The sequence below is a fragment of the Homo sapiens genome, chromosome 15, assembly GCF_000001405.40.
Source record: "Homo sapiens chromosome 15, GRCh38.p14 Primary Assembly".
Lineage (NCBI taxonomy): Eukaryota > Metazoa > Chordata > Mammalia > Primates > Hominidae > Homo > Homo sapiens.
In genome coordinates this window covers 77523633-77550632 of record NC_000015.10, presented here as the reverse complement: position 1 = coordinate 77550632, position 27000 = coordinate 77523633, and the positions used below count along the sequence as shown (strand labels likewise).

General features: G+C 53.8%; 1 long non-coding RNA gene across 1 annotated transcript, besides 10 other annotated features; it reads right to left on the bottom strand.

The window, feature by feature from the left end:
- Positions 6733 to 6947: a silencer, noted in NCBI's record as "fragment chr15:77836028-77836242 (GRCh37/hg19 assembly coordinates)". NCBI's record gives its function as "represses an EF-1alpha promoter that drives an FKBP-Casp9 reporter gene in an ReSE screen in phorbol 12-myristate 13-acetate-treated (for megakaryocytic differentiation) K562 erythroleukemia cells {active_cell/tissue: K562(+PMA)}" and the evidence as "EXISTENCE:reporter gene assay evidence [ECO:0000049][PMID:32094911]".
- Positions 8451 to 9130: an enhancer, noted in NCBI's record as "H3K4me1 hESC enhancer chr15:77833845-77834524 (GRCh37/hg19 assembly coordinates)". NCBI's record gives its function as "activates a minimal SCP1, AML or CMV promoter by ChIP-STARR-seq in primed H9 embryonic stem cells {active_cell/tissue: H9 hESC(primed)}" and the evidence as "EXISTENCE:reporter gene assay evidence [ECO:0000049][PMID:30033119]".
- Positions 12355 to 12404: an enhancer, noted in NCBI's record as "active region_9897". NCBI's record gives its function as "activates an Ori minimal core promoter by ATAC-STARR-seq in GM12878 lymphoblastoid cells {active_cell/tissue: GM12878}" and the evidence as "EXISTENCE:reporter gene assay evidence [ECO:0000049][PMID:35858748]".
- Positions 15793 to 16292: an enhancer, noted in NCBI's record as "H3K27ac hESC enhancer chr15:77826683-77827182 (GRCh37/hg19 assembly coordinates)". NCBI's record gives its function as "activates a minimal SCP1, AML or CMV promoter by ChIP-STARR-seq in primed H9 embryonic stem cells {active_cell/tissue: H9 hESC(primed)}" and the evidence as "EXISTENCE:reporter gene assay evidence [ECO:0000049][PMID:30033119]".
- Positions 16293 to 16794: an enhancer, noted in NCBI's record as "H3K27ac hESC enhancer chr15:77826181-77826682 (GRCh37/hg19 assembly coordinates)". NCBI's record gives its function as "activates a minimal SCP1, AML or CMV promoter by ChIP-STARR-seq in primed H9 embryonic stem cells {active_cell/tissue: H9 hESC(primed)}" and the evidence as "EXISTENCE:reporter gene assay evidence [ECO:0000049][PMID:30033119]".
- On the bottom strand, positions 16523 to 25038 carry LOC101929457 (uncharacterized). Its single transcript, NR_135692.1, has 2 exons — positions 24288 to 25038; positions 16523 to 19530 (listed from the first exon to the last, which is right to left on the bottom strand). It is a non-coding gene; the product is annotated as an uncharacterized LOC101929457 (long non-coding RNA).
- Positions 19431 to 20274: an enhancer, noted in NCBI's record as "H3K4me1 hESC enhancer chr15:77822701-77823544 (GRCh37/hg19 assembly coordinates)". NCBI's record gives its function as "activates a minimal SCP1, AML or CMV promoter by ChIP-STARR-seq in naive H9 embryonic stem cells {active_cell/tissue: H9 hESC(naive)}" and the evidence as "EXISTENCE:reporter gene assay evidence [ECO:0000049][PMID:30033119]".
- Positions 20275 to 21116: an enhancer, noted in NCBI's record as "H3K4me1 hESC enhancer chr15:77821859-77822700 (GRCh37/hg19 assembly coordinates)". NCBI's record gives its function as "activates a minimal SCP1, AML or CMV promoter by ChIP-STARR-seq in naive and primed H9 embryonic stem cells {active_cell/tissue: H9 hESC(naive and primed)}" and the evidence as "EXISTENCE:reporter gene assay evidence [ECO:0000049][PMID:30033119]".
- Positions 21117 to 21960: an enhancer, noted in NCBI's record as "H3K4me1 hESC enhancer chr15:77821015-77821858 (GRCh37/hg19 assembly coordinates)". NCBI's record gives its function as "activates a minimal SCP1, AML or CMV promoter by ChIP-STARR-seq in primed H9 embryonic stem cells {active_cell/tissue: H9 hESC(primed)}" and the evidence as "EXISTENCE:reporter gene assay evidence [ECO:0000049][PMID:30033119]".
- Positions 22803 to 23646: an enhancer, noted in NCBI's record as "H3K27ac-H3K4me1 hESC enhancer chr15:77819329-77820172 (GRCh37/hg19 assembly coordinates)". NCBI's record gives its function as "activates a minimal SCP1, AML or CMV promoter by ChIP-STARR-seq in naive H9 embryonic stem cells {active_cell/tissue: H9 hESC(naive)}" and the evidence as "EXISTENCE:reporter gene assay evidence [ECO:0000049][PMID:30033119]".
- Positions 24491 to 25334: an enhancer, noted in NCBI's record as "NANOG-H3K4me1 hESC enhancer chr15:77817641-77818484 (GRCh37/hg19 assembly coordinates)". NCBI's record gives its function as "activates a minimal SCP1, AML or CMV promoter by ChIP-STARR-seq in naive and primed H9 embryonic stem cells {active_cell/tissue: H9 hESC(naive and primed)}" and the evidence as "EXISTENCE:reporter gene assay evidence [ECO:0000049][PMID:30033119]".

The following is a 27000-nucleotide window of genomic DNA, read 5'->3' as shown; positions in this document are numbered from 1 at the left end:
CACCCCTCCTGCCTCTCCTCTTTAATAGGGACTTCCTCAGAGGCTGGCAGTGGACCCCAGCTCACACCAGGTCAGGGGGCTGGGTGTTCATTGACTGTGCTGCCGGCCTCAGCCCCACAGCTGCCTCCTCCAGCATCCAGATGAAGTTCTGCTAGGTCTGGTAATCAGGCTGGATTACCTGGGTAATCCTCCCCGCCCTGAGGCTCCCTGCCCGCTTCTAACTGAGGAATGATGATGTCTCCTGACCTTGGGGGCCACAGTAGAGTGAGCAGGAATACTGATGTCTTGCCCACCCCTCCCCAAAGCCACACAGACTCCGTGCTGGGCTCCGTGCCCCACCCCACCCTCCCAAGTGGAGCCTCAAGAGATTCTACCACCTGTGCTGCTCCTGATGCTGGTTTTGTGTCCCAAAATAATGAGATTCCTTACAACCAGTACCAGCCACGGAGCTGGGCCATCCAGGGTTTCTCCGTGGAACTGGGCAAGCCGGGGTTTAAATTCCAGCTCTGTTCTTCCCTCACTGTGCAACCTTGGGCAAGATGCTCAGCCTCTCTGAGCCTGTTTTCTCATTGTGAAATGGTGACCTATAAGATTGCTGGAAAGATTCTGTGAGGCAAGACTCCTAAAGCCTGCAGCCAGGGACGGGCACATTGCAGATACCCAATGCACCCCACTCCTTTTCTGAAGTCTGATAGGGTCTAGAAGGCAGCTGTGCCTTGTCCCCACTTCCCTCCACTAGCCAGTCTGGCATGATGGGCACTGTCACCTGCTCTCCAGGGGCAGCCCTCCTGGCTTGGGTGGTAGAAACTGGGTGGAGCTGGGGCTGCTTCCAAGGTATCCTCTCAGACCCAGCTGCGTGGGCTCAGGGTCTGGAGGCCTTCAGGAAGCCAAGCTCCTCCTGGCCCCTTGCTGTCCACCCTACCCCCAACCCCAGCAGCTGAGCCAGGCCAAGCTGGCCTCAACAACTAGGCTGGTCCAAAAGAGGCCTCCTGACACACCAAGGCCACCCCATCCAGCCTCCTCCAGCCCCAAACCCCACCCCAGCAATCCCAAGAGTACCCAAGATTGAGAATCTGAGTCAGTGTGGCTGCCAGAGACCCAGCCAAGCCCCTGTGGTGCCCCTGTGGTGCCCCTGGGGAGGCCAGAACGCAGAGCAACGGCCCCCAGACCTGACCCCAAGTGAGCTGGTGATGCTGCTATCTATCCTGCCAGAGGGGGAGCTCCTGGCGTGGGGACCTGGCTGTCTCAGCCAACCTCCCCATCTGTCTCTTGGATCCACGCCCCAAACCTCCACGCTCCCCATGTGCCTAGCCCTGTGCAGGCTGCTGCGGGATACCGTGGAAGGAGTGGGCAATCCCTGTCCTGTACCCTGGCATGGGGGCGGCCTCCTCATCCCTGGGCAGGTACAGGCCACAGTAGCTGCCGGGCAGCAGCCAGAGTGTGAGCCCCAGAGCTGGCTTCCTGGAGGAGGCAGACGTGCAGAGAGAGAAGCAACGCTCCGAGGTGGAGGGGTGCAGGAGTTCTTCCTGTGGTACCTCCCACCCTTAGGAAGCAGAACGCATTGGCTCCGTTTCACAGATGCCACCACTGAGGCTTGGAGGGGGCAGGTAGCGTAGGGAAGGTCACAGAGCTGGTGAGGGACGGGATCTGGCCATCTGAAGCACAGTTAGAGCAAGGTCATGGGGCCAGCAGGGTGCAGGCTGAGGAAGGAACAAGGAGACAGCTGTGGGAGGAGCAGAGATGAGGCCTCAAACCCCCCATGGTGGGGAAAGAGTCGGGGGTTGGACTTACCCTTCCCCCACCCTTCACACAGCCGGGACCAGGAAGGCTTGGGGAAGACTGTGTGGTGATAGAAGGGCCCCGCACACGTGGTGATGGTTCCTCAAAGGCCTGGCCTCTGCCTCTACGGCTCTGGGAGGCTGGGAAGGAGAAGCGGCCCCCGCCCCTCTAATAGATCCCTCTTTGATCATGTTTTTGTGACCTTTGTAAAAGGCAATTTAAATTCTAATTGTCCTGTGAGTACCAGAGGAATCAATTAGAGACAAGAGCCCGCTAATTGTGCAGGGGAGGTGAGTGGGGGGCAGGAGGCGCCGGGAGGTACAGGCATCCAGCGTCCCCACCTCCTGCCTGGTAGCCGGCACTCAGCCTCTCCTCTCCCGTCTGAGGGTGGAGGTTGTCAGGGTCCTGGGGCCGCAGTGCTGGGAGGAAGCTCCTGGGGCCAAGCAGGAAGCTGAGCAGGAAGTCCCCAGGCCGCCCGCTCTGCCTCTAGGCCCTCCCATGGCAGCAGCATCTTCCCTCCACCCCTTCTTCTGACCCTGCCCACCCCTCCCACCCTCAGGAAGAAGGTGCCCTCCTTCCTGAGCCCTGCCCCGCCTGGGTCTATGGGTGGAGGGGACTTAAGGGATAAGACCCCTAAGGAGACAAGCCCACCTTGCCCACACTGGCATACCTATCCGTGTACACACCTGGACTCACACTCATCGCAGAGCTCTGGGGTATAGGACGCACTCACGATTAGTCCTGATGTTCAGGGCTAGGCCTGGGGGAATGGTAGTCCCTGCCCTGCTCTTCCACACTGGAGCCCTGCCTGGTTCAAGCGCAAGTGACCAGTAAGCACAGTGCCTCGGCCTGACCTTGAAGACCTCTATCAAGTCTCTCGCCCACACCCACGCCTGGCATAGGCCCCCTCGGCCAGGCAGCCCCCTGGGCCCCCAAGCCTCAGTCACACCTCTGCTCACAACATTGCCTGGCACAGAAAAGCTTCAGGCCTCTCCAGTCCCACCCTTTCTGAGCCTCAAAGATATCTATAAGACAAGGATGAAAATTATGATAATGTTATATATTATCCTCTTGTAAGGATTATGTAATATGTGTAAAGTCCCCAGAGCAGGGCCTGGTACGCAGTAGGCACGCAATAAATGTATTTGTTATGAACACCCATCATCCCCCCCAACAGAGTCCATTTCACTCACATTCCCCCCAACACAGCACACACAGTGTGTGTTAGGACGATCTCTTCACAGACAGTATACCCCCTGAGAGCAGGAATGTGGAGTTTTCTCTCTGTGTCACCAGCGCCCAGCACAGAGTAGACAGCAATTAATTGCCCTCGAACTGTACTGGTCTCCCAGAGCCTGAATACTGGCCTCTCTGAGGTGTTGTGATCTTTACAGTGTCAGCCAAGCATGCATCAATAAGCAAAGTTATAGCAACACCCAACCCTAAGAGAGCACTCACCACATGCCAGGCACTAAGCACTTAATATAAGTGAACTCCCTAGGGGGTAAGTGCTATTATCACCCCCACTTTCAGATGAGGAAACTAAGGCACAGAGAGGTGAAGCAGCTTGCCCATGATCGCACAGCTGGGATGGGCAGAGTCAGGATTTGAATTCCAGGCAGTCTGGAACTCAGAGCTTGGAACTCCTAACCACCACCCTAGAACTCATTAAGGGAACTCTTCTGTCTATGCCCAGTATGTCACAGGATGCAGTGATACAGGGACAGCAGTATACCCAGGACAGTAAATAGCTCCATCTAAAGGCAATTGTGTCCTGAGGACCCAGACAGCTCAGTAGTAACTGATGAGCTTTTGCAAGCATGTGAAGCATCTGATGCCACAGTGATGACCACAAGGACACTGCCGCTGGCTCCTTTAGGGTGGTTTTGAATCTTTTTTTTTTCTTTTCTTTTCTTTTTTTTTTTTTAGACAGAGTCTCACTCTGTTGCCCAGGCTGGAGTTCAGTGGTGCAATCATGGCTCACTGCAACCTCCACCTCCTGGACACGAGCAATCCTCTCACTTCAGCCTCCTGAGTAAGTGGGACTAGAGGCGTGCACCACCATGCCTGGCTAATTTTTGTAGAGACAGGGTTTCACCATGTTGCCCAGGCTGGTCTTGAAATCCTGGGCTCAAGTCATCCACCTTCCTTGCCCTCCCAAAGTGCTGGACTTATAGGCGTGAGCCACTGTGCCCAGTGAGTCTTTTCTCAATGGTGCCACTGAAAGTTCCAGTGTTCACATGTATGCCATGAACCCCCAAAAAGCTGAGGATTCCTGGGCATGCACATTGGAAGTGCTTTCTCTATCTTGCCTTCAGTACTCCAGGCTTGCTTCCTTGGCACTACTAAGCTCCCTCTCCTTCATCCTTACCTCAGGGGAGAAAAGGGGAAATGGAAACAGGAAGGTGTTACCTAAGAGCCTCCAGCTGGGTAGTCCTGTTTCCTTGGACTGTGACAAGGATGAGGGCTCAGACTGTGAGCAGGATCAGGGCTCAGTCTATTAGTGAGGTTGGGATTCAGTTAGAGTCTCTGACCCTCAATCTCCACACTTCTTTCCTTGTTTGACAAGGCAGGGCATGTGGTCTGGCTCACAGATTTCACTGGCCAAATTAGGCATGAATCACCAGGGTCGAATGCAGTGCCTTCTGCTCTCCCACATCGTCCTGGCTGTCTTATCTGTAGCAGTGCTTCTGGGCATGCAGTCGCCGCCTAGCTCCTTGCATGCTGATGACCTCTACCCTGAATGGCAGGGCTACAAGCTGGCTGTAGCAATTTGAGGGAGTCACCTACCTTCCTTCTCCTTCTGAATGTCCCTGTAGGCACCTTGAACTCAACCCAACAGCCTGAACACTCCCTGGAAGCCTGCTTCTCCCTGACGTTGCCAGTTTCAGCCAAAGGCACTCAGAGGTCCAACTTGACAATGGGACATTGCCCTGGAACGTGCCCCTAGGAAATCAATCCCCAAAGCCTCCCCGTCCAGTGGATCACCCCCTGCTCCCCATTTCTTCAGCCACAGGCCTGAATGTTTTTCCGCTGAGACTTAGAACAGCCACCTCAGGGGTTCCTCTGTCTCCACCATCATCCTTTCCTGCCACACTACAGTAACAGTGGCCTTTCTAAAGTGTAAGTCTAACCATGTCACTCCCTGGCTGGACCTACATGCACTCAAGGGAGAGGGCTGAGCTAAGATAGTAATTTGGGATAGATCACTTTCCAACCACGAGAGAGGTGGGCTCACCAGGGGAGGGCGCGTCAAGTGAGAAGAAAGAGAAGAGGGCTTAAGCCAAACCCTGAGATTCTTCAGGGATGGGAGGGGAGCACCCAGTCCCAAGAGGGAGCAGGGAGGAGGAAACCCAGGAGCCAGTGCCACTGCAGGAAGGAGAGAAGCTGTCAGGTAGATCCATGCCCAGACCCCCTGAACAGAGCGCTCACTTTGTTCAGCAACTTAGAGGTTGCTGGTGACCTCAGTAAGAATCGTTTTATCTGGGAGACATAAAAAACAGAGGGCAGAGGCGTGGGGAGGAAGTCAGAGACGGGGGCAGTGAATGTACACAACTCTCAGTAATTGGGACTGGGGCCAAGGTGGGAAGGAAGATCACCTGAGGCCAGGAGTTTGTGATCAGCCTGGGCAACACAGCAAGACCCCATCTCTCCAAAAATTTTTAAAAAATAACCGGGCATGGTGGTGCACATCTGTGGTCCTAGCTACTGGGGAGGCTGAGGTGGGAGGATCACTTAAGCCCAGCAGTTCAAGGCTGCAGTGAGCTGTGATCCTGTCACCGTACTCCAGCCTGGGTAACAGAGGGAGACTCTGTCTCTGGAAAAATTAAAAAAAGAAGTGAGACTGGGACAGATCTGGCCATGGCAGAGGAGAGCCAGGGTCAAGGGAAGGTTTTATTTGGAATAAGAAGGAGCAGACCCACTCAGTCCTATATCCTTGGCCCAAGCCTGTCCTGCTCACTCTCACTACCCTACCCTTCTGGCTCTGGCTCCCAGAGATGCTACTTGCTCTTGAAAATTCTGGCTGGGGGAGGTGGGAGGGAGTGATATAGACAGACTGTCAGATTCAGAGTAGGGAGGCCCAGATACAGGGCATGGTCACCTAGATGTCAGCTGCAGATCCAGGGCAGGGGTGCTGGTATCCTGGGCCCTGCTCCCCCTCTCATTCCCCACCTTCATCGAGCTGGGGCCTTTCTTCATGGAGCTCTAAGAAGGAGAGGAGAGGCAGGAGGGAGCTGGAGGTGGGGTAGAGCACCAGGAGGCTCCGTAGGCATCTGGAGAAGTGAGGAGGGACAGAGAGGAAATATTAACTCAGTCAGGGAGCCGTCAAGGTCCAGAGTTGGGAGTCTGTGATAGTTCAGGTCCTAGGCCTGCCCCCACCTCGTCAAGTGATGCTAGGCTCTGTCCTATCATATCCGAGCCTCCGAGCCCAATCTGTGACCAGACAAGGCTAAACAAGCTGACCCCACTGGCCTTCCTGCCACGTCTTCCTGAGAGGTGAGAAGCAAGGGTCAGTCTGTGCTGCTCTGGATGGGAGTGGAGCTGGGAGCCAGGGCAGGGCAGGGCAGGGGATGACAGGCACCACTGCGCCATGTTCCAGCCCTTCTATCTGTGTGGAGGACACGGCTGTGAAATGTAAGTAAAACCCAAGTCTAATTTCCTCGGTCAGAAGGAGGAGGCACTGCAGCATTTTCAAACCCTAATTAAACCCGCTCGGGCGGTGTAACACCAAAATCAGTTCCAAGATCAATATTGCTATTCATTTAGAAGTGTAACGAGGTTAGAGAGGTGAGCAAAGGAAATAATTAACTCATTTGCAGCCTTTTTAAACAGAAACAGTCGTTTTAATCTCCAGGGTAATTAGCTATGCTCTGTCCATCAATCATGACCTCAGCCATTATTTTAAGTATTTGATTAATCAAGGAGGAAAGGGGTTAAGCCACCCCTCCAAGCCCCCAACATTGGCCCACGTATTGGGGATGACCCCTGGGCAGGCACTAGAAACACTTCTCCGGGCGGGGGGCAGTCTAGGCCAGCATTGAGAGTGGCCAGCAGGGAAGGGCTACAGCACAGAGGGTGTCCCAGGTGAGACACGTGGGCAGGTGGGGAACAGCTCCCTCTCCTGGCTGGTCTCCTGCGAGAGGACAAGCCCTCCCTGGGCATGGAAGTGCTGGGGCCCTGGAGCCCCAGGTCCTGGTCCATGTACCGCGCCTGGCTTGCTGAGTGACCTCAACAAGTCCCTGCTACCATTTCTGTCCGTCCTAGGTGGAGACGGAAGCCCATGGAATTAATCCGGAGCTCACGGGTTCTAAGTGCCCAGGGGCCTCCGGCCACTGGAGGGCAGCAGAGCCCCAGGGACCCCTGAGCCCGTGGGCTGGGCTTGCCAGAAGCGGGCGGCGGCTGCGCGGGAGCTGCTGCCTTGGGAAGCCTGGGTTCTGGCGGATCCGATGGGAAAGTCCGGTCTGGCTGCCATCTCCAAGGCCTCACGGCAGCCGGAGGGGTGGGTAGCCCCGATAAGTGTCCTCATTTGGCAGACGAGAACCAAAGCTTCGGGGAGTGCCAGGACCTCCCCGTCCGGGCCCCCACACCCCAGTTCCTGAGGCTCATTCCTGAAACCTGGAGGGGACGCCCCCGGAGATGAGGAGGGCAGAGCTGCCCGGACTGGCCTCTGTCTTGTTCTGACAGCCCGGGCGTGGCCACCCTTCTCAGCCAAAAGGGGATCCTGGGGGAAGCCAAGGCCCAGACATGGGGCCTCAGATGGGGGAAACTGAGGCCCAGAGAGAGGCAGGGCTGTGCTGATGTTCTCATTAGTATTTGTTAGCAAATGTGGGGCACAGAGTCACTGCCTCAAGGTCCTTATGATGCACTCGGGAAAACCGTGTGCAGATGGTGACCAGGCCGTGGGTGAGAGAGCTCTAGGAGGCAAGCCCGGGGTGGGGAGCCCCGCGGGGCAGTGGGCACAGCCCAGGCAGTCCAGGGAAGCCTCCTGAAGGAGGGGGCCTCTGAGCTGACTCAGAATGAAAGGTGGAGAAGTGTATTCCTGACAGGGAGGAACTGGTGCAGGGCACGAAGGAGTGGGAGTCGGTTGAATGAGTCGTGAATTGGGCATGGCTGGCCCACAGGCCCTGCAGGAGAGCAGGAAGGTGACAGGAGCCTAGGATATGGAGGGGGATCCAGGAGTGTGAGCGGAGGCTCTGGAAGGGATGCGTGAGGGCGGCTAGGGTTCATGTGGCCTGCCCTGCTGAGCCCGTTTCTGTCCACTCTAAACAGCTGTGCTGGGCGTTGGACCTGCCCTATGGTGCTTGATGTCGCTGGACCCGGGACCACCTCTTAGTGCTGTCCTCCTCTCTAGAGCCCAGATGAAAAATGACGAGTCCTTGGGAGGGCAGGGGTTGGGGAGCAAGTGTTCCTAAAGGTTCTGGGAATTCAGGGGTTGGGGAAAAGGAGACAGCCAGGATAGACATAGGCCGAGCCCACATCGACCTTCCTTCCAAGACAGCCCCTCACTGCCCTGTGCCATGCCAGTGCCAGCACCATCATCACTGGAAAGGCCTCTCCTTGCATGCCTTTGGCTTTGGGGAGCTCACCACCTCAAACAGCTCTAATGGGGAGAAATTTTCTTCAGCTGCTGTCTCTTGTCTCTCTACAGTCCCTGGCTCTTTGCCTGGGGTACCCTGAGAGCCCTGCCTCAGAGTCTTCTGGGACATCGCTGGGGTGCCCAAGACTGCAGTAGTCAGTCCCATGGGCAGGCAGGGAGTACTGACTGTCATCATCAGCCAACGAGCAACCAGAAAGGCCAGGGGACTTGGCTGGCTGGCCTAGCTGGCATCGGATTTGGGGGGAGTCTTCCAGCCCCAGGCACTGTCTCGGCAGACTGGGGGAGGGCAGGAAGGATGGGAATATGGAAGCAGAAGAAGGAGGAGAAAAAGAAGGGAAGGAGGAGGAAGGAGGACCAGGATCTGGCCTGGAGCTCGGTTGCCAGGGGCAACAGCATTGCATTCTGAGGAGGAACCAGATGCTGAGGAGGGCGGCAGGAGGAGGGGAGCTGGGGTCCAGGCAGCAGATCCAAGGCTCCTAGGGCTTGGGGGCGGGGGTACCCATTTGGCAAGAACCCCAGGAGTCCCAAGTGTGTGTGGAGCCCTGGTGAGAGCTCCTTAGTGGCTATTCTGACCCCAGGGCTCAGAGGCAGACATGTGGAGTGGGAGGAAGGCGGGGAGGGCTGGGCCAGCCACATTTGTAAGCTCCCCACAGCCGCTCTCCAGGCTACAATTTGTCTAGGACTCCAGAGCGAAAGCAGTTGTGAGGCTGGGACCGGGGCAGGGCTGGGGAGGAATGCTTAATCCAGCCAGCGCTGGGGGCCACACCCGGGCCTGCTGGGGCACTGGCCTGCCCTCCCCTCCTGCTGCCTCAGTCCAGGGGAGGAACAGGAAAAGTGCACACTGAAGGCTGGAGTCCTCTAAGGCCGTGGGCACTCCCCAGCCCCTCTCAGCTTCATTTTCTGTGTCTATAAAATGGCGCAAAAAAACCTTGCTCTTGGACACGTTTATCAGCAGTTGTCTACGTGCAATGTCGGGGGCGGGGGCGCTTGTTAAGACAATAAGAAATAAAGGAGAAAAACGTGATCAAAGGAAGTCACATTCACCTTGCATTTAGCGGGGGATTTGTACCCCTCTTTTCCAGGCCAGCAAACCAAGGCTCAGAGAGAGCTGGGTATTGAAAGTGCTGGGAACTAAGCATACCCTGTAAGACTCCAAAGCCCTCCCCACCTCTTGTTGCTCCCACCAGGACCTCCCTGATGTTGCCCTTGGAGTAACCCCCAGGCCAGAACTAGGTGTCATTTTCAAGCCTCCTCCCCAAATGTCCCCGCAACCCCTCCCTGGTTTCCTAGCATCAACCTCCATTCAACCTCCTCAACCTCCTCTGCCCCTAACCTGACAACAGGGGTAAAACTCACCCCTTGCCCGAGCAATTGAGGCTCCATCCCACCAGCCAGTTAGCTCCCTGTCCCTGCCACACAGCCACAGCCTAGCCAGTTCCCTTTCTGCCTGCAACTACCATTGTTGTGCAAGAAACCACCCCAAAATATAGTGGCACAAAACACTGACCATTTTCTTCTGTTCATGGAGTCTGCGGGTCAGGCATCGGACAGGGCACAGAAGAGGCGGTTTGTATCTGTTTTGTGATATCTGGGGCCTCACACAGCAGGCACCAGTGGCTGATGGGGGCTCGATGTCTGGGGTCTGGAACCATTCAGAGGCTTTTCACTCACGCGTGAACACGTGGTGGATGCTGACTGTGGGCTGGGAGCTAGGCTGGGGCTGTCCCCCAGAACACCTGCATGGACCCATTCATCAGGCCCGGGCTTCCTCATGGCATAGCAGCCTCTGTCCTAGGAGGACATCTTACCTGGTGGCTCAGGGATCCAAGGGTGAGCGTCTCAGCACGTAAGGTAGAAGCTGTGTTGCATTTTATGACACTCTTGGAAGCCCCAGAGTGCCACTTCTGCCATACTCTATTGGTCGAAGCAGTCACAAGCCCACCCACGTGTTTTTGTTTTTTGTTTTTGAGACGGAGTCTCGCTCTGTTGCCCAGGCTGGAGTGCAGTGACTCGATCTTGGCTCACTGCAAGCTCTGCCTCCTGGGTTCACGCCATTCTCCTGCCTCAGCCTCCCGAGTAGCTGGGACTACAGGCGCCCGCCACCACGCCCGGCTAATTTTTCGTATTTTTAGTAGAGACGGGGTTTCACCATGTGTTAGGCAAGATGGTCTCGATCTCCTGACCTCGTGATCCACCCACCTTGGCCTCCCAAAGTGCTGGGGTTACAGGCGTGAGCCACCGCGCCCGGCCCCGCCCATGTTTTAAGAGGGGGAGCACAGGCGTACATCTTCAGGAGATGAGGGGCCAGAAAGGCCAGAAGACCCTGTCTCTAGCACCCCCTACAGTCAATTCACTGTAGAAGGGCCTGCGGGATAGGGGAGATTGTTGGAGCCATCTTCAAAGTGCAAGCTGCCTTGTGGCTCCTCACCATGGCTGTGATGAAAGCCGCCCCCATTCCCTTCCTTTCCCAGCCCTGCCCCTCAGTACCAAGACACTGTCCCCTGCAGGAAACTTGCCTGGATTGAAAGCTATAGCTCCCACACCTCAGGGGACGGAATCACAACCACAGCCATGACGCGTCCAGGGAACATCTGGCCTCCCTCACTCTTCTCCAGAAATCTGGCCTACCCAGCTCCTTCTGCTCTCTTGGCCACTGACTCATCTGTGCTTCCCAGGGCTCCAGTACTGTCTTACGGAGGACTCTCCTGAGACCTCAGCCCCTTGCAGGACCTGCACCCCTATCTATTCACTGATGATCACCCAGTCAGTGGTTTCAGCCTAAACTTTTCCTAAAGGATCAGGTGCCCTCACCTACCTGCCAGGTGCAGAGGTCTCCCTCTTCCCTTGCACTCAGCACAGCCTGAGCCCAAAGGGCAGCCCCAGCCACCCTGGCACTGAAGCCAGAAGCCCCTCTCTCTAGTGCCCCCTACACAGGCACTTCATCTCCAGGCCCTCCCAGCTAAACTCCCAGGTCAGGTCCCTCCTCTCACCTGGCTCTCACCTGGCTCTCACCTGGCTGCTGGCAATTGCCCCTTCCCTGCGGAGTCCCTTCTCCAAGCAAGCTTTTCTAACATGAAACCCGACCTTGACCTTGCCACTCCCAGCTGAAACCCTTCCAAAGGCTCCCCAAATGTTCAGGACAAAATCCCAGCTCCTTGCCAACACAAGCAGAGCCTTTAACTGCCATTTGAATTCTTCCACTCTCTCTAGCTTCGCTTGTCACTGTTTCCCTCCTCCTCACACCTGTGCTCAGGGCTCCAGTCCCCTGGGCATGCTGCCATCCACTTCCAGGTGTTTGCACAAGCTGCTCCCTAGAATTGGAACACCTCTCATGGCCCTCACCTGGAGAGGGTCTGTTCCTCCTCACAGCGCCATCCAGTAGACTTTTCTGGACAATGGAAATGTTCCATTTCTGCACTATTCGACATGCTGTCCACTAGCCAATTGAAATGTGGCCAGTATGACTGAGGAACTGAATTGTTTATTTGTTTTTTATTTAAATGTAAATGGCCACCTGTGGCTAGTGGCTACCATATTGGATAGTATGCAGCTCCAACATAACACCTCTTCCAGGAAGCCTTCCCTGACCTCCCAAGCCTGGGCCAGATGCTCCCATAATGCTCTGTTCTCCAGGTGTTTATTCACCTGTCTCCCCAGCTGGTCTGTGAGTTCTTTTAGAGGTTATCTCTTGATCATCATGGTATCCCCAGCTCCAGGCTCTTATTAGTGACCAGTAGCTGTGCAGAGTCTATGAATTTTCTGAATCCACATCTAGGCACAGACTGGACCTTCCACGAAGACCAAATCCAAAATAACTCTGCTGAGGATCCGAGTAAATGTGTGTGTGTACACACATGTGCAGTGAATTCACGTGTAGTCATGTGTGCACACCCATTTGACCTTGGCAAGACCCGTGCAGGCCCCCACCCGGCTGGGGACAGTGGTCTCACACACAGATGCTGGCACGCTGGGCTGGACAGGAAGTGAGCCTCTGAATTGGCTTTTGTAAAAATCAAACGCTGTTTTCATTCTTGTTTCTAAGATGCTTCATCTGCATTGCAGATGAATCTTCAGGGAGTTTAAAAAGAAAAGCTTCCAGTTTTCTGTGTGGGACCACCTGCACTCTCAGTTCCACATTCTATAAACAAGCCCTTGCAGGCACAAGGGAAATTTGCCATTTAAATGAGCCTTCACCTCCTAAGTCAAAGGCCCATTTCTTGGTTACGAAGCTCTTGTTAAAGTTTTGATATTGGGTTTTCTTCAGATGGGGCCTCACGCTTCTGTTTCCCCCACTCCTCTCCCCTCCTTTTCTCCTCCTGTCCTGGCTCCTCCCTCCCTCTTAGGACACCACCATACCTCCTGCTCTGTCTGGGATGGGGTCTTCCACCCAACCATGCCAGGGTCTGAGAGAGGAAACAAGCCAGTTTCCTGCCCTCAAGGAGTTCCCACCTTTCTGTTCTGTCCTCAGTTCCCTACGATCTCCTTAAAAAGCAGAACCTTAGAATTACGCACTGGACAAATTCTTAGAGGCCTGATCCAATTTCCCATTGCACAGAGAGAGAGACTGAGGTCTGGGGAATGAACTGGACTTAGCCACACAGAACAGGGGAAAAGAGCCTCAAGCCCTCCATCCTCAGTCTGGGATTCTGGACACCACATCCCCCCACCGCCTACCCCGACTCCCTCTACCCCCATTTCCTCTACCTGGCTGCCACACTGGTGCTCCCTGACTCCCTCCTGGGCACAGACTGGTGACTAACCACCCTCAGCTGTGCCCACGGTCTTCAAGGAGGACTCCTATTTAAGAAATGAGGGGAGACTTCACCCCTTTGCCAGGCAGTCAACAGTTCCCCCCACAGGGATGTAATAATTACCAAGCCAGGCAGCAGGTGCCTCTATTACTGCTATTGTGTTCTGAGTCTCTTAAAATGGCATTGAAAGGGCATGTCAAGATCTTACAGCCTGCAATGGGACCCCCACAGAGGACTGAAAGGCGGCCACTGCAGCAGAGGCAGAAACTGGGTGTCAGGCATATGACTCAGCCAGAGCCTTCCAGAAAGCTGAGGGCAGGGGGTAGGTTGGGGAAGGGCAGGGAGTATGGGCAGCTGGCTCCAGACCCCATTCTGCCACCCACTCTTTCTGTGGACCTGGCTGGCCTAGCCCCTTTCATTCTCCATGCCTCTATTTCCCTCTTTTATTGAGGTTGGGGAGAGGGGAGGAACAGGGCTGCTAATGCCCTATATATGATGTGAAGGGTGGCCAGGGTCATCTTCTCCCTGTAGCAGCCCCCACGCCTGTGAGCCAAACCCCAGTCCACAAAGGCTCCAGCAGCTACAAGGAGACTCTCTTACCCCAAACAGCTCTCCTAGCTTTGTCCCCAAATTAGCCCTCCCCTGCTTGGCCCTACATCCCTTAGACACTTAGGAACTGAAATCATGAATGCTAGTTGAAGCTTAAGAAAGTCGAAAAAGGAGTCAGTGTCTTCAATTGTTTTAATAATGAGGGCATTGAGCAAAGCACTTTCCAGCTCCCATCAGACATCAGGAGGTGGTCTCCCAGCACTAGACCCCTAGTCTCTCCTGCTCCCTCTCTCTCTACACACACACAAACACACACACACACACACGCGCGCACACACACACACACACAGTGTGCCATGACAAGTGAGCTCTGGAAATATGGTGTAGTACCTCCCCCACTTGGTGATTCCCAAAACTGTTTAGCATTTAAAGGCTTTGGGAAGTCCTGCAAGAAAGATTCTGTTTAACTTGCTATTTCCCAAGCTTATGTGAGCATACTTTTTCTCAGGGTAGCACCTTTGAATCAGAAGTTACCTTTGCCTCCTGATAACAGAGATCCAGCCATAGTGGCCTAAACAAACTAGTAGTGTCTTTTACTCTCCCCTGTACAGAGGTCAGCAGCCCAGGGTCGGGATGGTGGCTTCACCATGCCTTCAATGTCTGAAATACCTTCTCTCTCCAGGCTAATCATCCTCAGCACTGCTGTCTATCTTCAGTGTCACCTCATGGTTCATAGTGGCAGCTGGGCTCCATCCTATCTGTATTCCAGGCAAGAAGAAAGAGGAAAGGGGGAAAACCCATGCTCTCTACCTGTCTCCCTTTTCCAGAACTTTCCCTGGAGCCTCGCCCAACAATTCTCTTGCTCATATCTCATTGGCCACCCCTGGCTGCAGGGGTCGCTGGGAAATGTAGTCTTTTAGGTGGACACCTTGCTCCCCAGAATAGAATAAGGGTTCTGTTACCATAGAAAAATGGGAACATGGCCGGGCGCGGTGGCTCAAGCCTGTAATCCCAGCACTTTGGGAGGCCAAGGCGGACCGATCATGAGGTCAGGAGATGGAGAGCATCCTGGCTAACATGGTGAAACCCCATCTCTACTAAAAATACAAAAAATTAGCCAGGCGTGGTGGCAAGTGCCTGTAATCCCAGCTACTCAGGAGGCTGAGGCAGGAGAATAGCTTGAACCTGGGAGATGGAGGTTGCAGTGAACCTAGATCGCGCCACTGCACTCTAGCTTGGGCAACAGGGCAAGACTCTGTCTCAAAAAAAAAAAAAAAAGAAAGAAAGAAAGACAGGAAAGAAAGAAAGACAGAAAAGAAAGAAAGAAAGGAAGGAAGGAAGGAAGGAAGGAAGGAAGGAAGGAAAGAAAGAAAGAAAGAAAGAAAGAAAGAAAGAAAGAAAGAAAGAAAGAAAGAAAGAAAGAGAAAGAAAGAGAAAGAAAGAGAGAAAGAAAGAGAAAGAAGGAAAGAAAGAAAGAAAGAAAGAAAGAAAGAAAGAAAGAAAGAAAGAAAGAAAGAAAGAAAGAAAGAAAGAAAGAAAGGAAAGAAAGAAAAAGGGGAACATGACTCCTGGGTGGACAAGTGCAGTCTCAGTCACTGCTTCTTTGCGTTGCAGTATTCTAGGAACTGCTTGGAGTCAGGACCAGCTGGGCCCAGCCCCTACTTCCTGCCTGTGTCTACAGGCTGTGCGGCCTTGAATAAGCTTCCTAACCTCTCTGAGCCTGTATTATTGTCTTTAAAATGGTGGTTATCATGAGGACCAAACAAGATAAAGTATGTGCAAGCAATTTATAAAGTGTAAGTTGTTATAGAAAAGAAAGATACTCTTTTTTTTTTTTTTGAGTCAAAGAGTCTCACTCTGTCACCCAGGCTGGAGTGCAATGGCGCGATCTCGGCTCACCGCAACCTCCGCCTCCCAGGTTCAAGCGATTCTCCTGCCTCAGCTTCCCTAGTAGCTGGGATTATAGGCGCGTGCCATCACACCTGACTAATGTTTCTATTTTTAGCAGAGACGGGGTTTCACCATGTTGCCCAGGCTGGCGTCGAACTCCTGAGCACAGGCAATCCACCTGCCTCGGCCTTCCAAAGTGCTAGGATTACAGGCATGAGCCACTGTGCCCGGCCCAATACTCTTGTTTTCATTCATTCCTCTAAAAAGCCTTGTGAAGCAAGCAGGGCAATACCTAGTTCCACATTTGAATGGAGAAGAAACCGAGGCTCTGAGATATGAATTGACTTCTATGATGATGAAATCTGAGCCCTGTTTTTGTTAATGGAATGAACCTTGATTCCATCCTGAGCCTGAGCCCTGACCTTGGTTACAGACTGATCCTTGATCCTGGCCTGAGTTGAAGTTCTGATCTTAGTTTTAGACTGAACCCCAATGCTAGTTACAGACTGAACCCTGCTCCCCACCTGAGCCTAAGCCCTGATCTTGATCTCTGAGTCCTGATAAAGAGGGGCCCTCTCGAACCATGTAGCAGCACCCAAAGGTGTCCACTGGGCTTCAGAGAGGTACAAATGGATGATGCTGATTCCTAGGCCTGGAGGATGGGGCTTCCTCCCATTTTGTGGTTCATCCAAACCTTGCTAAGTAGTGGGGAGAGCAGACCAAGTCTGTGGACCCTGGCAGAGACAGCCAAGTAGATGTCCAGAGAAATAGGAGAAGCACATGGCCTGCTTCCCCTAGTAATTTTCCCAGCCCAGACAGCTGTAATGGGGAAAGTATTGAAATTTAAATCAGAGCCCAGCCTAACCTCTCTGCCCGCCTGCCGCCCGCTGCCGCTTCGCCTGTAATCTCAGGCTGGCTATCTCCTCCTTGGGAGAACGACAAACCGACTCAGGGAAAGTGATAAATTTTCAATTTTATTTTAAAATATACCAGATGTGAGATTTTATTGGAGCCATAAATATGTCAAGAGCAATGTTGGTGTGTGATGGGCGATGCCCCCTCCTTGGGGCCTCTCTCCCTGTTTAGAAATTCCATCAGATTCTTAATAAGAGGCTCCAGTTCGACTGCAGCAAAATAGTCTCTATATTAAAGCAATTGAATTTCCATTTGCCAGACATCTTGTGCTTTAAGCTTCCAGGTTCCAGGGGTGTGGGGTTGCTAAGCCGATTCTAAATGAACCTAAACTAATAACTGCACAGCACGCTGGGGGCTTGAAAGAGTGGGAGGGGAAGACTGGGGAAGGGAAGGGGAGGAGGGGAAGGGAAAGGAAAGCAGGGGAGGGAAGGGGAAGGAAGGGACAGGAGAGGAAGAGAGGAGGAGGTGCTGCCAATCACAGACCCCGGGCCGGGGAAGGGAGGGACCTCCCTCACTTTTCCAGCTCCTGCTGCCAGCCTGAGATGAAAATCCTGCAAATGACAGAAGGGCCAGCTCCCTCTGTTCACAGAAGGAAAACTGAGGCCAGAAAAAGGGGTGAGGGGTGATGATGTGACTGGGATTCTGGTCCCTCTTCCCTCCTCATTGCTTTCATTGCTGTCTTCATTGATTTGCTATTTTGCAGGCCTTCTTGGGTAGGGGTCCTTGTTGAGGTTGGGGCTGCTGAGCAAGGCTGGCCCCCTCCACCAAGACTCTCCCCTGCACCCTTTGGAAGGCTCTGCTCTGCCTTGGGGATTTGCCTCACTCACTTTCCCCCCACAGCCTTTCTCTCCTGCATCAAGTCATTCTTTGCTCCTGCAGAAATGTCAACCTTTCACTCAACCTCAAGCATCTCCTTATCCTAGAGAATGGCTCAGATTATGGCTCAAGGACATCAGAAGTGAGAGGATCGAAAGGCTGGGACACCAAGGCTCAGAGGCGGCAAGGGCACAGGGAATACTATTCTTCTGGAACAGTCCCTGGACTGTGGGTATGAATAGGTGCTGCCTACCCACAACCTCCCCATCCTCCCCGCCTCAGCCAACCTCAGCCAGGTCTAAGTGGCACCTGTCCAGGTTTGACAGAGGTGATGCCCAGGTAGTAAGGGACAGAGTCGCAGCCAGAATTCCTCCCTCGTTGAGAGCAAGGCTCCTAATCTCGCTGAGCCTCCATTCTCAAAAACGGATATACACTTCTGAACACCAACAACAAACAAAAATTGTGGGCATACTGTTATTTACACCCCAAAATATTTGAGAGCTTAAATGAGATAATCCATGAAAACTGTGTAGCATAATGCTGGTCCCTAGTAAGTGCTCCAAAATGTTAGCTATTATTATTCCTTTGTTATGATGATAATTATTACTGCCCTGGGTGCTTCCAGTGGGAACTATATCTCCCTGTAGGTCTGTGTCTCCCAAGCTGTCTGGCACAGAATTCTGTAGACAGTAGCTGCTCAATATTGAGTTAAATAGTTAAGAATTTTCCATCCATTGGGACAAGACATGGGCTCTGGAGGTAATCAGAGTAGATTCAAATCCTGGTTTTGACTTCTTTGCTCTGTGTGCTCCGTGACCTCTCCAAGCCTCAATTTCTTCATCTGTGAAATGGGTGAATAATCCTTTCCCTGCCTTCTTTCAGGACGGATGCATGAACCAGAGCTGGAGAAAACTTTCTTAAACTACACTCTTCCTTATTCCTCCTGCCTGTCTCATCAAACTGGGTCTTTCTCAGGGACCCTATGTACCTGAGTCCCAGGAGGGTCCTAAGAGAGGCAGGGCTGGGGACAGCTCCCACCATCTGCCCCTGACTCCCCCATCTCCAACCCAATCATGAGCTGTGTGCTGCCCTCCAGGGCCCAGCTGCTGAAAGTGGACCCGTGGACAAGATCATGGCAATGGCCATCCTGGTATCACACAGGATGTTGGAGCTAGAGATCTGATAATGTGGCCAGAGAGAATGAACATGTGGAATCCAGCAACAGAGATCAAGGCCAGCCCCAGCCATAGTGACAGCACCACTGGATAATGACTGCCTCATCCACGGGGTTCTGAGCGATGGGGTTTTTGCCTCTGGATGTGGATGTGTGCTTCTCTTTGGGGAGAAGGTCCATAGTTTTCACCATCTTCTTAAAGGACTTCCAGACCCTCAAACTGTTCAGAACCAGGAGCTCCGTTCTCCACCCAGGATCTGCCTCCCAGCCACACCCACGTCCTTACTGACAGGGAGAAGAGGCAGGCAGAGGGTGCGCACGAACCTGAAAGCTCCACTGTCCGGACCCCGGACGGGCCTCAGACAGGACAGTGAGCTCCCCGGAGACACACAGAGAACCGTGGTGAAACCCTCCAGCACGGTGCCTTCCTCATGCCAGGCATGAGGCGGTTTAAAGCCGAGTGTTCAGTAAAGGGCTGACTGAATTGTCACACCCTGGGACGAGCTCCCGGTTGCCTCTGGGCTGAGCAGCCACCCTGCTGACCTCCAAGGTCCCTGCCCACTCTGCTGTTCTCTGCTCCTTCATTAGGGAGGGCCAAGGACAGTCTGGTGGTTTGAAGCAGAGGAGTGAAAGTCATTCCTTCCCGTTGACCCAGCAACGTCTGGATCAGGTGAACTTTTCCAGAGGGCTCGCCATGTCCCTGGCATAGTGCTGCCTGCCCGTGGGGCTGAACCTGCTTCATCCTCCATTTTAGAGATGGAGAAAGCGAGCCTCAGAGAGGCCAAGTGAGTCCATCAAACATTGAGGTCACATGGCCAGTACGTAGGGGCTGGATGGGGCAGAGCGCCGCGAGGCAGTCCTGCAGGGATGCCATCTGCCAAACCCTTTCCTGGAACTCCTCTCTTTTCATTCTGTGGGCCTGCAAGAGAGGCCGGGCAGGGGCGCTGTTAGGAAGCTGAGGCGGCAAGAGTTAGAGTGACCTGCTCAAGGTCACACAGCGAAGATAGGGCAGAGGTGAGGCTCCAACCTAGGTCTTCCAACGCCCCATTCTCTGGTCCCTAAAGAGACAAATGTTACAGATACTTTGCTTTAAGATGTACTGAAACCCATCCACTCATCTGCTCACTCATTCCGCAGGTGTTTCTCAGGGACCTACACTGTGTTTGGGCACTGTGCTAAGTACTGGGGAGGGTTTCAATGTTATCAAAGCAAACAACAATGCCTGCCCTCCTAGAGTTTATATTCTAATGCAGGAGAAGGAGAAACAACATAAGTAAGTTAATTACAAAGTGCCAGAAGGCAATACATCTGTGGAATGCAACAGAGCAGGGTCAGGACATGGGGAGGGCCAGGCGGAGGCGGTTTAAAGTCGAATGTTCAGGGCAGGTCTGGTGAGAAGATGAACATCAGGCTGGGTGCAGCAGCACATGCCTGTAATTCCAGCACATTCCACCCTCCTTGCCTTGGGAGGCCAAGGGGGGTGGATCACGCGGTCAGGAGTTTGAGACCAGCCTGTCCAACATGGTGAAACCCCATCTCTACTAAAAATACAAACATTAGCCAGGCGTGGTGGCATGCGCCTGTAATCTCAGCTACTAGGGAGGCTGAGGCAGGAGAATTGCTTGAACCCGGGTGGCAGAGGTTGCAGTGAGCCGAGATCGCACCACTGCACTCCAGCCTGGGCGACAGAGTGAGACTCCATCTCAGAAAAAAAAAGAAAAAAAAAGGATGAACATCAAGCAGAGACTTGAAGGAGCTGGGGAAATGAGCCAGCCATGTGGACCCAATGGGAGGAGTCTGTCAGCAGAGGAGCCGCCTGTGCGAAGGGCCTGAGGTAGCAGTGGGCCTGGGGTGCTTGTGGACAGCAGGGAGCCTGGTGTGGCTGGAGCAGAGGAATGGGAGAAGAGTGGGAGGCGATGATGGGGGAAAGGTGGAGAGAGAGGAACAGATCATGCCTTGGCATTAAAATTGCCCATGGGCAGATGGGCCTTCCTGGGCAAATCTGAAGGTCTCACAAATGATGGAGTCACATGGGGCTCATCACAACCAGAAGCAGAGTGGGAGTGGGGGCATCCAGCCCTCTCACCTCCCCTGGGAGGAGTCTTCTTCCTCCACCTCTCCTACCCTCACCCTGTGCCACCCCATGCTGCCCCTACCCCACCTCATGCTTGTGGTGTGTCCCCAGGGAGACTGGGCCAGGCTGGGTGAAGGAGGAAGGTCCATAGCCTTCCCCAGCCTAGGAGTCTGCTAGCTGCTAGTCTGAGTGAGCTTTGAACCTGCCAGGCCCTGCAGGGGCACTAGAAACCATTAGCAGGCAAACAAAAGGCCTGGGGAGGCCTATGAAGCCACCATGGAAGCCTACAGCTAGGTTTATTTCGAATTGAATAAAGAGCCCTGAAGCCCAGCCATAACCACCCGCTACTCTCCACACCCCTCCCAGACTCCTGACCTGAGGAAAGGCAGGCCCAAGGGCTTGTCCATGGCCACACAGCAACCGAGGCCAAAGCCCCGGTCATCTCCAGAGGGGAGAAGCTTTCTGTGCCCATGAGTGCAGGGCAAGCCACGGCCCAGAGAAGGCCACCACAGGTGAGGCCCACACCGGGCACGATGTGCAGAGTGGGTAGGTGGACACTGAGAACCCTTCGGGTGAGGCCCGAGCCAGTGAGTTCAGGGGCTGAGGGTCTCCTCATCTGTTTACTCGCTGTGTGACCCTAGAGAAGTGTCTTAACCTTCCTGAGCCCAACTGCAACATGGGGTTCCTAATAGCCCTACTTTACAGGGCGGCTGTAAAGATGAAGTGAGCTCACCCATCTAAAAGCACTTAGGCTACTGTGTGGCTCAGGATAAGTGTCATCCTCCCACTGCCTTCCCTCAAGTAAGAATGGAGGGGTGGGCAACTGCCAGGCGGTTCCCAGGCCTAGGTCCCCAGGGCAGACCCGCGCCTCTAGCGGAGCTCATCCCTGAACTGAGGCTGCCTTCCCCACCACCGGCCGCAGAGCCTCAGAGGCAGCCAACCAGACGGGCGCTTTTAACAGCTTTTTAATGTGATGGAGCTCGCTGAGCTTGGAGAGTGGAGGCATGTCAGGGGCTTGCCTGCGGAAGCTTTCAAGGTCAGCCAGCAGCAGCCTGACCTTGAAGCCTGTCCCTTCCCAGGAACAGCCCAGGGGCTGCCGAGACCATTCGCCATCAAGGAGGCCCTGGGGGCCCCAGCTCAGGAAAAGTATTAAAAAAAAAAAAAAACAGCGATGAAGAGGCGTTAAATGGATTAAGGAGGCAGGTGGCCAGAGAGGATGAGGGGCAAGGCTGTGCCAGGGACAGCAACAGCAGAGACCTCCTCCTCCAAGAGGCTTCAAATTGGCTTCTCCTCCCTCGTCACACGCCAAACAGTCTCCCAAGTGGAAAGACTGGGAAGATAAGCAACTTCCCCTTCATCTCCTCCTTCTCACAGTCTCCCCAGCAGGACAGCGCTGCTTCCTTCGTCCTGCAGATTCATAAAAATCAGGGTCATCTCCCTGAGAAATGGCTCAATTATCAGCTCCCCTCACAGAGAGCACAGAATAAGATGGGCCTTACAAAGTGGGGCCACCCACCAGGCCACCCGCACCCCAGCACACTGCCTCGGCGCTCCCCAGAGAAGGCAAGAACTCTGCAGGGAGGGCTTGGCACTGTCACCGCCCTCCTCCCCACCTTCTGGGGGCCTCTGCCACAGCCCTAGTGGTGGCAGGCCTGTCTAGGCAAGATGGGACTTCAGCCCCTTCCTAGCTGTTGCTGTGAGCAGGCCGGTGGCCAATGGCCTCAAGTCTAGTGTGTAGGCTGAGCCCCTCACAGCTCACCTGGCACTTCACTCCCATTATCCTCTGTAAGGCGGGGAGTGGTATACGTCTGTTTTAAAGACTAGGAAATTCAGGTCCCTCAGCCAATAGACAGAGGAACTGGAATTCAAATCCAAGTTCTGGTTCCCAGACCTGGGCACTGCAGAGCCCGCATGGGGAGGAGACTTATAGGCCTCTCAGCAGCGGGTCACATTCTCAGGGACTGGGGGGGCTCCCCCAGCAGACAGGCCAAGGAGACCCCAGGGAGAACAAGAGCAGAGGGCAGCCTCTTCCCAGCTTCCCTTCTGCCCAGGGCCGGGGTCGTGGCCAGGGCACAGTGGGGAAGGCCAGGCCCCTTCCAGGATACACACCATGCCCCAGCCCAGAGGGAAGTCATGGGAAACTAAGGGCTTCAGGAATCCCGGAGTGTCCACCCTACCCCAGAGAAGCCCAAAGGGATGAGGGGATTTCAAGTTGGGCTGGGAACCAGGTGGCCTCGTTCCAGTCCCAGCTCTGCCATGGACGAGGAGTGGCCTTGGACAAGTTCCTGCCCCTCTCCTCCCTCAGTTTCCCTGTTTGTGAAATAGGTGATGATCCTCTCTAAATGGGAAGATCTCTCTGACTCACCCCCAGGAGGATCTGGCCACCCTCTCACTCTAAACTGGCCCGGGTAGAGCCAGTAGCTGGAAGAGCCAGGGCTGAGCCCACCGCATGGGAATTCAGGGATGGGGTCTGCTGAATTCCAAACTTTCAGCAGCAGAGCGGCTGCAGGGCTTTCCCACAGATGCAGCTCAGCCCCCGGAGCAGGCCCCTCAGTTCCCACTGCAGCCCTTCCAAGTGGAAACCACAACGCTGTGGAAGCCCGGCAGAAAGTAAACAGAAAGCACGTCCCCAGGACCTCGAGGCCCCGGGCCCCGCCTGGGGCAGCCCTCAGGGAGGCGGCTCCAACCAGAGCAGATTCCTGCCGAGCCTGTCTGGACTAGCCTGGGGCCCCTGAGGGAGGAGGCAGCCACCCCCACCCCCACGCCCCCTGCTCAGATCAGAGAAAATGCTGTCTGCCTCCTGCTCAGAAGCGCCAAGGGGTAGGGGAGAGCAGGCCTGACACCAGAGCACAGGGCCCTGGTCTTAGCGCTGCTACAGACTCCCTAGAGGGGCAAGGCCAAACCTCCCTGTGCTTCACTGTCCCCATCTGAACAACAGACACGGCACATCAGCTGCTTTCTAAGGTCCTTCCCAAGTACCAAGAGTTTGATCTTAGAACGTGGAACGAGGTGGTCCGCTGAAAAGGGGAGACGAATGGGGGCTGTCTCAGGGGCTCGAGCTGGGAAGGCAGGCTGGGTCTATGAGGAGGGACCCACGTGGGCGTAGTCCTGGCCTCCCTCTCCCCCTCCACATGCCATTTTACAGCGGAGGAGACAGAGGCCTTTCCCAGGCCAGCCACACAGAAATGGAGCGCAGGGCTCCTTGCTGGCTCTGGGGTCCTGAGCCCAGGCCCTTGAGGAGGCTCATGCAGGCCCTGGCAGGTGCAAGCGAGGATGCGGGGAAGGCAATGTAGTGTGGGCCAATCTTGCTCCACCCTCTCCTCCCGAACCCCCCAGCTTTTCTCCAGGGCCTGACCAGGCCTCTAGCTTGGATCTGTCTTTGGGCAGGTGAGGGGAAGTGAAGTGCAGGGGACAGGGAGCAGGCAGAGCCGCAGGATTTGTTCCTCTCCATCTCTGGGCCCCTTGTGATGTCCTCTGCCCAAAGGGCCTTGTTTCCCAATCTCCTCCAAAGTTACAAAGTCAGCTCCCTGTCATCCACACAGTGCTGAAGCCATGCTGGGTTCTGAGAAGATGGGGGAAGGCCTCCACTGGGAACCACACCCCACCTAGGACTCAAAGCTCCATTGGCTGGCTCCAACACTCCTGCCCCTTCTGCCTGTGGTCCCTCTCCTCACAGGGCCTGGACACACGTCCCTGAGACTGGTCAAGGGCCAATCGTACTCCAGAAAGACCCAGACTTACCTTCCCACTTCTACGCCAGATTGTTCTCCTGAGCAGCTGCAAAAAGCCACCTCACTTCTGTAGCAAAAGACCTTCATGCAGATGGTCTTGATGGCCCATGACATATGTCCAGGCCTGTTAGAATCCTGCTTTGGTCTCTCGACCTACCCCACTATGTCCACGTCCACACGGAAAGGCTCTTGGGATCTCACCCCAGGCTCCCCAGCAGGATCCTTTTCTGGAGTTGGGAGGCAGGAGAAAGAGTCACCGCAGGGAGTAGACCGGACGGGCCCCTGGCACCAGCCACGTGTGGCTGGAACAATCAATGACTGAGCCCTGGACCAGGAGCTTGGGTTCTGGTCTCAGCTCTGCTGGTGACTTGCTGTGTGATGGTTGGCAAGATACACCTTCTTTCTGAGCCTCAGGCGCTGTTTTTGAAGTGGCATTGTTAACTGCTCCTCGTTTGGCTGTAGGATCTCCACCACACATCACTGTCACTCCTACCTGGGCTCAGAACTTTCCCTGGCATCTTTTCCTGCCCACCTCCCCCGACTCAGCACCCCTTGGAAGTGCTCCTTCTGGGGACCTGAGGAGGGCATAGGCAGCATGGCCCACGTACCCACCTCTCAAGAGAGGCCTCCAGCAATGCCTCCTTTTAGCCACAGGTCCTGGGACCAGTGAGCCAGGGCCTACAGCAGCCCACATGGACACATGGACACATGGAAACGTGGCCACACTGCCACAGAGTCAAGAGCCCTTCTCCCTGCTGAGCAGGCTAATGCCTTAATCCCTTTACACAAAGCCTGCTGATTCTTTCCTCGGGGCGGGGAAAGTGGTTGGGGCACAAATTGGCTTATTCCACTGATCCAGAGAGAGGCTTCTCCCATGAGGCCAGCAGATCCATCCCTGTGTGTGGCTGTCGCTCAACTCTCTGCAGCACACACACCCCTCATTACCCTCACCCCCGAGCCTCCAGGAATCCTTGTAGATTCAGAGATACGGAGACTCCCCGTGGTCCTCCCTCCCTCCTTCCAGGAGAACTGCTGAGTATTGGAGATAGACAGGCCTAGGCTGCCAAGCTCCTACACTGACTAGTTTGGGGTGTCTGACCCCAGGTACGAACTGTTAGGGAGGACACAGAGAAGGCAAGAGAGGATACGCCACCCAGAAAATAGTAGAATGGGAGAAGTTTCTCTCCATTCCTTTCACTCACTTTCCATAGCCCTATCCAGGGCCCAACCTGGCCAGAAGAAAGGTATTTTGTAAGCTTCCTTCTGATAAAATTGCAGACCATCCAGAGTGAGGGTAGCCTCAAAAGAAGGGACAGCCAGTGGTGGAGTTTCAGGCATTCACAGAAGAGATCATTTGAGTCAGCAAGCTTTTTTGGTATCCATAAAGCCCATGGCCCTGTGGCACCTGCATGTGTGCATAGTGAGGTCAAGGGGAAGGTGGCATGTCCGAGGGAGGGAGGCAAGTGGTGCCACGAAAACCAGTTCACACACAGACTCGTCAGAACACCCACAGCAGGCTGGTTCATAGTGACCCAGAACTGGAAACAACCCGATGTCCATCAGCAGGTGCCTGGATTCCTGTGGTACATTGGTGCGATGAAATACTACTCAGCCATACAAAAGCATGAACTATTGATACACGCAACTAACTAGATAAATCTCAAAATCACTAACCTGAGGGAACGGAGCCAGGCACAAAAGAATACATTCTACACAATTCCAACCATGTGAAAATCCAGAACAGGCAGCAGAATGGATCTTGGTGATAGAGGTCAGATGGGGAGGAAGGAGGGGGTGAGAGGAAGAACACGTGAGAGAACTTTCTGGAATGATATGAAAGAAGTGTTCTGTATCTTGATTTGGATGATAGATACATAGTCAATTGTCAAAACCCATTTAACTGTACACTTAAGGTTGCATGTCAATTTTATCTAGTATGTAAATAATAAAAATAAGCATGGAATTTTTTTAGTCAGTTAGTTAAATCTTTATTTTGGAATCATTGCACACTTACAGAAAAGTTGCAAGACCAGCGCAAAGAATTCACATTTACCCTTCACCCAAATCCCCCAACAACTAGCATTTTACCACAATTGGTTTATCATCCTTTCTCTCTGTCTGTCTCCCTGTCTCTCTCTTCATGCATATATAATTATACATACATTATGTATATGTCCTACATATCATTGTTTTCTGAGCCTTTCAAAAGTAAGTTACAGATATCATAGCCCTTTTGCTCAAAATAGTTGTGTGTATTTCCTAAGAATAAGGTTATTTTCTTGTCTTTGTTATCAAAATCAGGATATTAACATTAATAATAATATTTTCTGATCTATATGCCTTCTTATTCAAATTTTGCCAATTGTTCAAAGAATATCCTTTATTAATTTTTTTTTGGTCCAGGATTTGATCCAGGATCCCAGGTTGCATTTACTTGTCATGTCTTGTTAGTCATATTTAATTTGGAATTGTTCCTCAGCCTTTCTTTGTCTTTCATGTGCTTGGCATTTTTGAAGAGTGTGGGCCAGTTATTTTAATAAATGTTCTTGGCTGGGCATGGTGGCTCATGCCTGTAATCCCAGCACTTTGGGAGGCCGAGGCGGGCAGATCACAAGGTCAGGAGATCAAGACCATCCTGGCTAACACGGTGAAACCCCATCTCTACTAAAAAAAAAAAAAAAAAAAAAAAATTAGCCGGATGTGGTGGCGAGCGCCTTTAGTCC